At 40.0% G+C, this 13,526-nt stretch overlaps 1 long non-coding RNA gene across 1 annotated transcript in view; it reads right to left on the bottom strand.

The window, feature by feature from the left end:
• LAMA4-AS1 (LAMA4 antisense RNA 1) overlaps nt 1-13,526 on the bottom strand; it is a 70,088-nt gene that overhangs the window by 23,128 nt on the left and 33,434 nt on the right. The window lies entirely within an intron of this gene.

The following is a 13,526-nucleotide window of genomic DNA, read 5'->3' as shown; positions in this document are numbered from 1 at the left end:
TGAGGTGGACCCAGGCATCATTACTTACTTGTTAAAGTTCTTCAGGTAATTCCAGCATGCAGCCAAGGTTGAAGATCAATGCTGAATCTAATTTCTACACAGATACCAGAAATGTGACCATCCTTGAAATCCTTTGCTGGCTCCCCATCATCTGTACTGCAGATCTAACCCAGGCTCATTGGCAGGCTCTTCCCCGCTTTCTGTCTCACATATTATGTTCTGTAGTCATGAATTATTTGAGGCTTGCCACATATACCCCTATATGTCATGAAAAATCCTTGCAGTTAGAACCTGAGAATACACATTTTTATCAAAGTACCCCAAGTGATTGTGAAGCACAATAACATTTGAAAGCAACTCTACCTCCACTAATTGGAAAGTGATTTACCCATTTGTTCATTCCTCTATTCCTCCTTTCTTCATGTATCCATCCATCCAACAAATATCTGTTGAGTACTTAATGTGTGCCAAGTGGATAGCTATGGTGCAGTGGTGGAAGGTCCTGGTAGACAAGAAAAAATGTGACAAGGTGGGTAGCGGGTAAGGAAAGGGGTGGGGTCCAGGGAGCTCACAGGAGCAACACACCACCCAGCTGGAAGCTCAAGACCTAAAAGACGAGTAGGAATTAGCCAGGCAAAGAGAAGCAGGGGAAAATATAGTTTTCCTAAAACAAAAAACAGCATGTTTAAAGGTTAACAACAAAATGACATAGCTTATTCAGAAAATTTTAAGAACTTTGGTATTGCTAGAGCAGGAAGGGAAAAGACTAAAGATAAACATTAAGTATTTTAATTATATTACTTTAATGTCTCTTTAAAAAGTAATATTCATAAATAAGAATCAATGGCTGTGAATGAGTGAAGTCATTTTTTTAAGCAAACAGTAAATGCTAATTGCAGTCTGAAGCACTTTTGAAGACTCAGCTGGAAATAGCCCTCACCCCATTAACCTCTAAAACAGCATTTTTTTAAACTTCTGACCCTGCCCAGGAGTGGTTAGCCTCAACTTCAGGGTCAAGAGATTTGCTTCAGGCACTTTCAGAATCAACTTGTATGGGAATGAAGTACTCTCTGTTAATCCAAGTGTTCATCTCTGACAGAGGAAATTGCTCTGCTCCCTAAATGACTCCAACACTTCACTTTTCAAATACATGTCAGCTGTGCTGCTGAACATCCACAGCAGATGTCGTTCTGCTGCTTGAGTCAGCGACTCAGAGAGCCGCATTCCCAGTGTGTGTGTGTATGGGGAGGAGAGGCCGGGGGTGGATTAAGGCATAAGATCCAAATTGAAGCAAGTAAAGTTCTTAAATCATTGTAGTATTCCATTGGAATGAAAAAAAAAAAAAAGATGATTCTTCCACTGAACTGCAGAAGAAGTTATCAAGAAAACTAAAGAGGGAAAGAAAATAAGCAAAATTTAATTCTCAATGATTAACTGAAAAAAAGAAAAGGAGAAAAGGCACATCTCATCTCACTGGGGAACTTTGTTGTTCCAGAATGATTTTAAGTTCACTTAGGGATATATTTTAATTATATTTATGTTTTGGCAAAATTTATGAGCTGAAGATCATTTCCTGAAAATAAGACATTTGTACAATCCCTGCCAACACTGGAGTAAATTTTACTTTATCAAGAAAAACTGCTTAGGCTCACAATTTTTTACAAATAAAATTAACTCTGGTGCTTTTGTGGGACTTTTCTCCTTCCTCTGGATCACTGATAGCAACAAAACTGAAGTGTCCACTTGTAAGTTCAGCACTGCAACAGGAGACCCTAACCTGGGTGTCCCCACTAACCAGCTATGAATTAGGACATGCTGTTTAAGCTCCCTACACCACTACATCACTGCAAAGGTTTTTGGTTTGTTTGTTTGTTTTCTGAGATGGAGTTTCACTCTTGTTGCCCAGGCTGGAGTACAGAGGTATGATCTTGGCTCACTGCAACCTCCGCCTTCTTGTTCAAGCGATTCTGCTGCCTCAACCTCCTGAGTAGCTGGAATTACAGGTGTGCACCACCACACCCGGCTAATTTTTGTATTTTTAGTAGAGACGGGGTTTCACCATATTGGCCAGGCTGGTCTCGAACTCCTGACCTCGTGATCCGCCCACCTTGGCCTCCCAAAGTGCTGGGATTACAGGTGTGAGCCACCGCGCCTGGCCCACTGCAAAGCTTTAAGACCCTTTCTGAATATGAGACTGTGTAAACAGAGTAGCTATGGGGGAAAAATCTTCACATCAATTTGAGGGCATTTCAAGGACCACAGAGCAGAACATGGGAACTCAGGGATATCTTAGAAAATCTAGGGCACATAGTCACTGCTCCTACTCCCAAATGACTTACAATCCAAAATGTGTTGACATGGATGAAAATGAGGCCAAAGGAACAATCTTCCTTGAACATATAATAAACAGGGTTAAGAATTTATAGTCTCAATTAACTTTTTTTTTCACTGTCAACAATTTTCAAGTCCTTCGAAGCCTCTAAACTCTTTAATAAAAGGGAATCTTCAAAAGGCTCCTCCACCGGCCAGCTTCTCAAGCTACTCACTTTTGCCATTGTATGTAACAAAACTGAAAATAATTTGGCATGAAGTATGGTATTTAAGGATAAAAAATAAAACTCTCTCTTAAACAGAATTAAAACTAAAGGGTGTGTGTGCATGCATGTGTGTGTGTGTATATATGTGTGTGTGTACTAGGAGAGGTCAGACTTGGAATACAATGCTCAGATTCTACCACATCCTTATTAAATATCTTAAGCCAATAACTCATTCCATTCATGACTGCCCTATTTGAAAGTAAATTCTGGAGAGGCCAGCCCTTATAACATCAGTCACCGGGGCACCTCCTTGAAGGCTGCTTAGAAGTAGCAGAGTCTTTTTCTCTTGCTATCTGTCCAGACTCACCCAACTTTGGCCCTTGGATTTTGTTGTTAGAATAAATGCAAAATGCCCTACAAATCATTGCCAACATTGAGACAACTGGTCTTCCCCAAATCTCCTGTGTTATGTGTCTCTTCCCCACTCATCTCAAAAATTAAATAGAACAGGCAAGAAGAGCAGCAAATTTCAAACTATCATTTGACTCCCTCCCATGACCCACTCAGTCCTTAAGTCTTTGTCCTCTGCCCAAAACGTATTTTGTTTTCTCCATCTTGTCATCTGGCAGCCAAGAATATTGAATGTGGTTTAAAGAAATAACACTATATTATGAAAACATCATTTTATCAAGACAGCTGACAATACATGTGAATGCATATATTCATTCTCTACATTGCAATGCCATTTTTAGGGCACAGAAGGGGCTTGGATACAGTCTTTATTTATGCTATTTTTCAAATTTCATATGCTGTAGATAAAAGGCAAAGTTTGCCATTTTCCATTCTTGCAAGTTTATGAGAATTAGGGAGTACTTTCTCCATCCTGTGCTTTAACATGACTGAAAATTGCTTAACTCCCAAAAAGATTTTGATATTGTCAAGCTCCAAAAATAAAACATAGCTAATTAACAAGAATTCTTTTCAGAGGATGGTGTGGTACATTTTCAGGGTCTGGCTTGGTGAAGATGGGAAAAGTGATCCCTCACAAACACAGCGGCTGCAGGCCTTAAGCACTGTCGTCTTTCTGCAAGTGTGAGCTTTCTCCCTGGCTCCCATATTAAGCCCTGGCATGTTTATAAGCTGGCTGTTCCTTCCCTGCCCATCCCACCCTGTCTCCCTTACAAATGTAACTCCTCTCTTCCATAAGAATTAAGCTGCAGGATGGTAAAAGGAAATGATTTCATTTGGGTGGAGAAGGGAAAAGATACAGCTTTAGTACAAATACTGTAAGGCAAATATGCTGTATAAGAAACACAGCTGCCGAGCCACAGGCTGAGTCTTGCTAAGTGGCAGGGCCTTGCTTTAGCTGTTTCTCCAAGGAATAGAACAGCACAGGGTGGGAAGCAGGAGGAGATGGAGCCAAGGTTTGCATCTTTGTTGTATGTTCATAATTATCTTTATCCTGTAGTCCATTCCCTTTTTATTTTAGCAGAAACATTGCTCTCTAGAGGACTAGAGTGCTGTTCTGGTTGCTATAATTTCTCTCTCACAAACTGTAGAGAGAGGCAAAATGATGACTAACCTCCACCTTGGATTGTGCAAAATGTCTATTTCTTAGATTCGTGCATAATGTGCTGATTCTAAAATCTAATCTAAAACTATATTAAGAAAGTAAGACCCTTTTAAAAACTTGGATTTAAGATTCCGTCCAAAACCAGAAAAAGCATGGTTAGTCCTCAGAGTGGGGAAATATTGCAAGTCATGTGCTAATTAAACTTACTCTTGCTCGTTCATCATTCTTTATCTCCAGCATGCTTCAGAGGAGGACATGCAAAATACATTGAAATGGGCTGGGTTCCAGGGTCACAATCGCACACAGCATGGATTCTGGTGAGCTTCTGATGTGCAATAGGGGAAATGGAGTTAGCCTCTGCACTTAGCAAGGCAACCTACTGGTGAGCTAAGATTTGGGGATGGCTGTGAATTTACCACTTTATAATACCATGCCCTTTCCTTCCCACTTCACCAAGGCACCATTGCAAACCTCCCTCTCTGTCCTCCTTCAGTGGCGCAGAGGCGAGGTAATTTAGAGAACAGATCTCCCACAAATTGACTCTTGGAAACCTCAGCTGCTAATTTACCTAAGTTTCTTCCTGGACCTTCCATTGGCCTTCTGATACAAATAATTATATTAATTGTAATCCTGTTTGCTGACACACTCTCTTCAGTGATATATGTATGTCCTGCTTTTCTTTACCTAGTTATCTATTTAATTTAATATTTTAAATAATTTAATAAGTGCCTATGAGACTATCGCTACCCTTAAAAGTCTAGAGCTTTGGAAATAACCTACCTATATCCGTATGGCTCCTCCTCATCTCAACTCCCACTCCCCACCAAATAACCTCATCCTGAATACAGGGTTGATCATTCCCTTGCTTTCCTTTTTAAAATTGTCTTATTACATCTATACACATTCCAAAATTCATATTTTTATTTCACTTGTTCTTAACTTTAAAAAAGAGTAACATACCATAGGTATTCTTTGGGGACTTAATGTTTTTAACTTAATATTATATGGCTAAAATTAATCATTCATTTAGACGGTCATCTTCCTGTGTCTAAGCATTATCAGTTTGTTCACCCAGTATCCCATTGGCAGGGGATTTGGACTGTTTTGTGTTTTTGTTTTGCTATGAGCAGTATAATATTCTTATGCACATGTCCTATGAGGCATGTGACAGAGTTTCCATTGGGGATATACTTAGGAGTAGAACAGCTGGGCCACAGTGTGTGAGGATGTTCAGCCTCACAACATAAAGTCAAACATTCTGAGGCAAGTGTGCCCCTTAGTTTACATTCAAAAAGGGGCCCCATCCTAAAGAAGATGTGTCAGTGGCCAATGCAGACTCTAAACAGTGGCCATCCAAGCATGGTGATGGGCCCCAGGTCACAGATAGCAGAGGGCTTTGCTAATTCTGGTGTGGAGGGGCTCAAAGTTAACATTGGAAGCATGTTGGTGAAAAGCTGTGTTTTGTGGTGTATCTTTTATGATTAAGTTAGCTATTTCATAAACTGAGGAAAGTTATTTCTGTAGTGTGCAGGCTCAATCATTCTCAATAAATTCTTTTCTTGCTTTATGAACCTCCAAATTAAGACGCTTTTCTAAATATTGCTATGGTTAATCCTTGTACTAGGGGAGAGATGCGAGGGACACTAACATATGTAACAAAATTCTGGTATCTGAAGCCAGCAATTAGATAAGTTATACTGTCTATAGATACTGCCTTATAGATTTATGTGTGTATGTTACATGAACCACAATTATAGTGATGCCCCTCCATTCCAGTTAGATAGAGAGAGCTATTTTCATTTTTAAGAAAGGCTCCAAATGTTGTATTTTTTAATCCCTGAATTTTATTTTTAAAAGTTTTCTCTCTTCTCCCTCCTGTCAAATTATCAAATATCACTTCACATTCTCTTATAATTATGTCTATTTTTCCCCCTTTGAAGTACTTTTTTAATACACTGTGGACTTAGAAACCACTAGCCAGGGCTGGGCATGGTGGCTCACACCTGTAATCCCAGCATTTTGGGAGGCTGAGGAAGGCAGATTGCCTGAGGTCAGGAGTTCAAGACCTGTCTGGCCAACATGGTGAAACCCCGTCCCTACTAAAAATACAAAAAAAAAAAAAAAAAAAATTCACCCCGCGTGGTGGTGTACACCAGCTACTCAGGAGGCTGAGGCAGGAGAATAGCTTGAAACCGGAAAGCAGAGGTTGCAATGAGCCGAGACTGCGCTACTGCACTCCAGCCTGAGTGACAGAGCAAGACTCCATCTCAAAAAGAAAGAAAGAAAGAAAGCCACTGTTATAGTTGTGTGTAGCATAAGAGTAAACAGACTCTGATCGACAATCCGAAGAGGATTTTTTCCAAATAAAGTGAATTTCATGGACTTTATGACATACTTTTTAGGGTTAAAGGCTCCTTTTGCTCATGCTTTTGTTCCTAGTTGTGTTTTGGGTGAGAGAGTTTATTAAACAGCCAAATTCCAACTATTTAAGATGGTTGGACAGAAGATTTAGACCACAGTTCAGGTTCTGTTTCAATTCTGACATTTGATGGCTATGACTAAGCAACTATATCATCCTTTATACCTCTCAGTTTATGCATCTATGAAATTAAACAGCCACCTCTCTTCAGGTATAGAAAGCCTTGATCCAGTAATGTATATAAATCATTCTGTTATGAAGACACACGCACCCATATGCTCATTGCAGCACTATTCACAATAGCAAAGATGTGAACTCAACCTAAATGCACATCAATGATAGACTGGATCAAGAAAATGTGCTACATATACACCATGTACACCATGGAATACTATGCAGCCATATAAAGCATGAGATCATGTCTTTTGAAGGGTAATGGAGATGGAGGCCATTACCCTTAGCTAACAAGAACAGAAAACCAAATACCACATGTTCTCACTTATAAGTGGGAGCTAAATAATGAGAACACATGGACACATACAGGGGAGCAACATACACTGGGGCCTATTGGAGGGTGGAGGGTGGGAGGAGGGAGAGGATAAGAAAAATAACTAATGGGTACTAGACTTAATACCTGGGTGATGAAATAATCTGTACAACAAACTCTCATGACACAAGTTTACCTGCATAACAAACCTGAACTTGTATCCCCTGAACTTGAAATAAAAGTTTTTTTTTTTTTTTAAAGCCTTGATCATCATCGTGTACCTAAATCTTCCACTGCAAGGCCTTTCCCACCACAAAGCATTATCCTAAAGAATTAAGAATACCTTGGGGCATGTTGGCCTCTGCTTAGAAATCTCTAGAAAAAAAGTCTCAAGTTTCTAAGCCTTTCATTAGGCAAGGGGCCGAGAAGCTGGGCTTTCCTAACAAATATTCTACCTGGTACAATAACATCATGCCAGGTCCTAAGGCAGATATATGGGTGAAGAGAAAAAGTCCAAAATATTGGATATCTAGATATCTTCTAAGTTTTGCTTAAACTATTATATAAAGTACTATTGTGTTTAAGTGGGTAAAATGAAGGAAAAGGACAAAGAGAGCAGCATATATTTTTAATGATCTTTGACTAAATTTTGCCATACCAGATGATGGCAAACTCAATATGGTATATTGCAAATATGCCCAGAGACTTATCCACTTCCTTGCCCTTGCTTGCACATTGAAACTTGCCCTCTTATTCCTGTAACCTGCCTCAACCATGTGAAGAGGTCCAGGTTAGCCTTCTGGAGAATGAGAGAACTTCTGAAGGAGAACCAAGTACCCCAGCTGACAGCCAGCCTACCCACAAAAGCAGAGCCACTAGTCAACCCACAGCTGACTTCAGTCATACATGAAAGACCATACAAATTCAAAGAACCATCCAGATGAGCCCAGCCTAAATTGCTGACCCCAGCCTGAATTGCTGACCCCAGAAAAATGAACTAAATAAATGGTAGTTATTTTAAGCACTATGTTTTGGGTGGTTTATTACTCCATCATAGGCCACTCATACATTCAACATCCATTCTCCCTCCTTTCTTGCTAGCAGAGTGCAAATTAATTCAAGTAAATCAAAGGATAGTGACCTAATTCCCTTCTCTAAGACTAAGTCTTGATTGATCTAAGCCATCGATCTATTGTCTTGTTGTTTGTGGCACATTGCCTAAGCCATTGATAGCTACAGGCTGTAACTGATCTATTATCATTGCTTGGTGAGTAATGAGTAGTGATCCCTTTTGGCCAGTGAAATCTGAGGGGTGGTCTGCTGGAGGAATGGATGCTTCTCTGCTTCTAAATAATGTCAAGTCTGGCTGTGAGACCTGGAACTGCTGTAGCCGTTTTGTTCCCAGCCTAAGAATAAAACCAACATATAGAGGAAAGAACCCAAACATTCTCAGAAGAGCAGAGCTGGAGCTCTCACATCCTGTGCTTATGCCACTTCCAAGCCTCTTGTTAAAGAGAACCTGAATTTCCCTGTTGTCCATGCCAGTGTGAGTAGGAGTGTTCAGTTTCTTGCATTCTAACTCATACTTTGCCTTCCTTGGGCACTCACTTCCTGTACAGCAGAACATGCCACCTGGCAGCTAGAAATGTGTCACTTGCATTAAACATTTTACAGCCATTGCATAAAATTCATATCATTTGTTAAGAGAAATAGATACAAATGAGGTAGTTATTTTCCTTCTTTTCATACATTTTTATTTTATTACATTTTGTGAATATTATCTGATGTGAAAAGAAACATAAAATAATGCCATAGTAGCAATGAATATCATTTCTAGGCTATAATTTAGAGCTACATATCGGCTAATGTAGATATAACCAAAGTCAGTTCTAGGACCTAAAAGAAAGTATAAGATATTGTTTATCTATGTCAGCTTGTAATTAACTTTTTATAGAAGCCAAATGTATCAGTGTGTTTGAATAATTTTGGAGCACAGTTTTTTTTACTTGATGATACATGGAAATAGTGGCTCTCAAAGGAAATTAATATATACCACTTAAAAGACACCTATTTTTAAAACCCAAGCAGGACCAAATTATAGACAGAGTGAGATGTCTGATGAACACTTAAAAGAATTTTGAGCCAGAGTGATACTGAGTAAGCACAAAATTGTTTTAACCCATTTCTAAATGCCTGTGCATCTGTAATTACTTTTACACCAATTATGAAACTCACTTGCAATGAACTGCACGGATGTTTACTGTCTGGAATCAGCAACAATGTTAGGAAGAAGCCCACCACCCATTCTGCATGGCTTTCACCAGATCTGGCCCTTTCATATAGCTTCTTTCTGAATGAATTCAGTGAAATGACACATCAAAATGCTGTTTTAGAGAACGACATTTTTTCTATGCATGCATTTACCAAAATATATTCCTTAACTTCCTGAGAAACTTCAATAGATTTCTCTTGAAAATAAAAATGTATTTGCTCTATAAGGGGAGAAATGCATAGGAACTGTCCTTTTTAGGGATTCATGATGCAAAGGTATAAGAGGTATTGCAGTTTAATGTTTTTTAACTTTGTTTAACCCATTATTCTGTAAGATGCTGGTGTGTGAAATGCAGCCTTAGTAGAATCTATTGACTTGGCAATGGATGGGAAATGAGAGTCAAGAACAAGATAGTAGTAAAAACACGCTGACATTTTGAGCCTAGATGACTGGAAGAATAGTGATTCTGTTAAAAAGAAGGCAAGAAAGAAAAGAAAGAAGAAAGAAAGAAAGAAAGAAAGAAAGAAAGAAAGAAAGAAAGAAAGAAAGAAAGAAAGAAAGAAAGAAAGAAAGGAGGGAGGGAGGGAGGGAGGGAGGGAGGGAGGGAGGGAGGGAAGGGAAGGAAGGAAGGAAGGAAAAAGAAAGAGAGAGAGAGAAAGAAAGAAAGACAGAGAAAGAAAGGAAAGAAAAGAAGGGAAGAAGGGAAGGAAGGAAGGAAGGCAGGCAGGCAGGCAGGCCGGCCGGCCAGCCAGCCAGACACGGTGGCTCACACCTGTAATCCTTGCACTTTGGGAGGCCCAGGTGGGCAGATTGCCTGAGCTCAGGAGTTTGAGACCAGCCTGGGCAACATGGTGAAATCCCATCTCTACTAAAACACACACAGACACACACACACACAGACACACACAAATTAGCCAGTCGTGGTGGCACGCCCCTGAGTCCCGGCTACTCGGGAGGCTGAGGCAGGAGAATTGCTTGAACCCGGGAGGCAGAGGCTGCAGTGAGCTGAGATTGTGCCACTGCACTCCAGCCTGGCGACAGAGCTGGACTCTGTCACAAAAAAAAAAAAAAAAAAAAAACAAGCATAAGGAAGGTTTCAGGTGGAGAAAATGAATTCCATTCTGAGCATACTGAGATTGGCGTAAGGGTGTCTTTTGGGTATAACATTTCTGCAGTTGGAAATTCAGGTCTAGAGCTTATTAGAATGACCTTGACCAGAGATGAAGAGTTCAGACACATACAGAAGCAATAATGAAAGCCAGGGCAGTAGATTAGATCAGGAGGAAATGATAAAGGGAGAAGAAAGAATGCCAAAGGCCAAATGTCTCCCTGTATTAAGGGGGCCACATCAGAAAGCTAGGAAGAGAAAAACAGAAGAATGTTTCTGTAAAAGAGAAGGTCTTGAGAAGGAAGAAACGTTCCATGGGGGTTAAAAAGACTAAGCCCTCATTGGACGTAGTGATTTGAGGTGACTGGGGAGCTCCTTGAGAGCACTGTGGCATTATGATGCGGACCTAAACCTTATGGAAAGGATTATGAATTGAGGGAAGTAATGGCCAAGAGGAAATGAGAAAGATAGGTAACTTAAGAAATCACAGGCCGGGTGTGATGGCCCACGCCTGTAATCCCAGCACTTTGGGAGGCCGAGGCGAGCAGATGACAAGGTCAGGAGTTCGAGACTAGCCTGGCCAACATAGTAAAACCCCGTCTCTACTAAAAATACAAAAAAAAAATTAAAAAAATTAGCCGGGTGTGATGGCATGCACCTGTAGTCCCAGCTACTCAGGAGGCTGAGGCAGGAGAATTGCTTGAACCCAGGAAGCAGAGGTTGCAATGAGCCGAGACCACACCATTGCACTCCAGCCTGGGTGACAGAGTGAGATTTCATCTCAAAAAAAAAAAAAAAGAAAAGGGGCAGGGGGGCAGGATTGCCTAAGCTTTTTTATAGGTTAACGGAGTGATTGTGGATGCAAGTAAAGGGAGAATAGTTGATAAGTAAAATTTCAAAGATGATGGGGGGACTGGGGTCAGAAGTCTGGCTGCTAATGAGGGAAGATATATTGCTACAGCCTTTTTATAAAGTAATGTGAAAATATTGAAATTTTAAATATGTATATTCTTAAATATGCATAAAATTTTAAATTGCCTTCTACCTGGGCAATTTCACTAATATGATTCTGTCCCACAGAAAAACTCATGCAAATGTCCAAGGGTATTCATTATAATATTAGTTGCAATAGGAAAAAATGGAGAACCCAAGTGTCCTTCAATAGACAAATGTTTAAGTAAATTATGGTAAACCTCTTCTACAGAACACCGTGCAATTATTAGAAACAATGAGCAAAATGTGTATGTACTAAAATGGAATGAAGCTCAAAATATCCCTCCACTGCATTGTGAGTTCCACTGTGGCAGGGACCATATCTGCTTTCTCATCCTTGTATTTCTCATCCTTGTATATCCATGCCCTGGCATAGAGCTTGACCCACAGTTAGTAAATGTTCAATAAATACTTATTGGATGAAGCAGAATGTTGAGTTTTTAAAATATGTTGCAGAATAGCATGTATAACATGATTCACATTTGTTTTATAGATATATATTTAAAACATTTATATATATAAAACATTATATAATATATAATATATATATTGGATAAATGTGATACATATGTGTAAACATTCTGGAAGAATACCCAGCAAATTAAAATGGTTATCTTTATAAAGTAGGATTGGATGGGAAGTCATTCTTTTAATTAATTATTATTAAATGTTTACAAATATGAATTTCATTCATAATTTCAATCTATCAATAAAATATATAAAATCACTGAAGAAAAGGGAAAAAGAGTGCAGGAGGATAAGTTAGCCTTTGCAAGAGTCATGTGCCCTCTTCCTGAAAGAGAGGAGTGAATGACAGAGAAGTTATAGAAAGGAGTCAAAACTAGGGAACCAAACATGTGCCTCAATAAAGCAGAAGCCAGGGTGGTCCGTGAGAATAAGGGTAGTGATGAAGGACCGACATCTGAGGAAGACTGAGAAGGTTCAGAACATGACCTCTGTTTTACATCCAGGGAGACTTTGAAGACCTTTCAGTCCAACCACCCACTTTACAGAAGAGGATGTTAAAGGACTTGCCAAACAACACAATTTGTGAGTGACAGTGCCAGTCCAGTACAACAGCTTCTAAAAATATGCAAAAAAAATTCAAAACAGATGAACAGATGGATCGCCAGGCATTTGTGAGGATGCTGATAAGGTTAAAACCAAAGAATAGTGGTATTAAGTCCATATTATTCCATAGCATTCTGTGGCAATGCCAGAAAACCTATGAATGAGAGCAGAAGCAGGAAAAGGGAGTGGGGAGTAGATAAGATGGTGAGAGGGCCTGGTGGTGAGTCCTGGGAGGTGAAAAGTGTTTCATAATAATAAATGACAGAGTGAGAAGCTGAAACTTGTCAGCTAATGAGAAAAATGCCAAGCTTAGGAAAATGGCAGCAAACTGAGAGGTTGGTTGTTACACTGATGACCAACAGAGTGGCTGTTGGAGTGACTGATTGACTCAGACGACAGGCCACTGGCTTGCCCCACTTTCATCCAAAGCATCATAGCTTTGCTAATGTTATGATTAGGTAAGTGGATAGAAGTGTTGCCTCAATTGTAACAGCAGTACCCATTGGCTTATTTAAACATGAAATCAAAATGTCTGCTAATTCCCAGGATCCTGGGGGTAGACTTTGACCTACCATTTTGAGTAGGTTTTATTAGCAGCTCAGGCCTTCATTAAGGCAGTGGCTGATAAAGGCTAAAACATCCTGCCAGTTGTTTATGGAATAGAGGCTCAGCCACTCACCAGCCTTATTCCAGCTGCCCACCAGACACACTGTTGATATTGGGCCTTCTGCCTAAAACCAGCTGGCTATTCCCAGACTCTTTCAGATGTCCAGCCATGATGCAGTAATGGAATTGCCAGGGTGGAGGGTGGATCTCAGCTTTTGGTATTGTCCACCATCCAAGGAAGGATCAGAGGCAACTGTTTAAGTTATTAAAAGGGCTGGGAGTGGGGAGACGGAAGGCACAGACAATGTTCCTCTGATCTCTGTGTGATTGCTTTGTGTTTTAACGCTCCTGGCTTGTGGTTTTTTGTTTATTTTTAAATTTCTTTTCTTGTTGTGGGTTTGTCCTCATGACTGTGTCACACGTAGACCAGAAGGGCTGGGTTTGCCTGTGTTCTACTTTG

This window comes from Homo sapiens, chromosome 6 (genome assembly GCF_000001405.40).
Source record: "Homo sapiens chromosome 6, GRCh38.p14 Primary Assembly".
Classification (NCBI taxonomy): domain Eukaryota; kingdom Metazoa; phylum Chordata; class Mammalia; order Primates; family Hominidae; genus Homo; species Homo sapiens.
The sequence above is the reverse complement of the archived record's forward strand: the minus strand, read 5'-3'. Positions and strand labels throughout refer to the sequence as shown.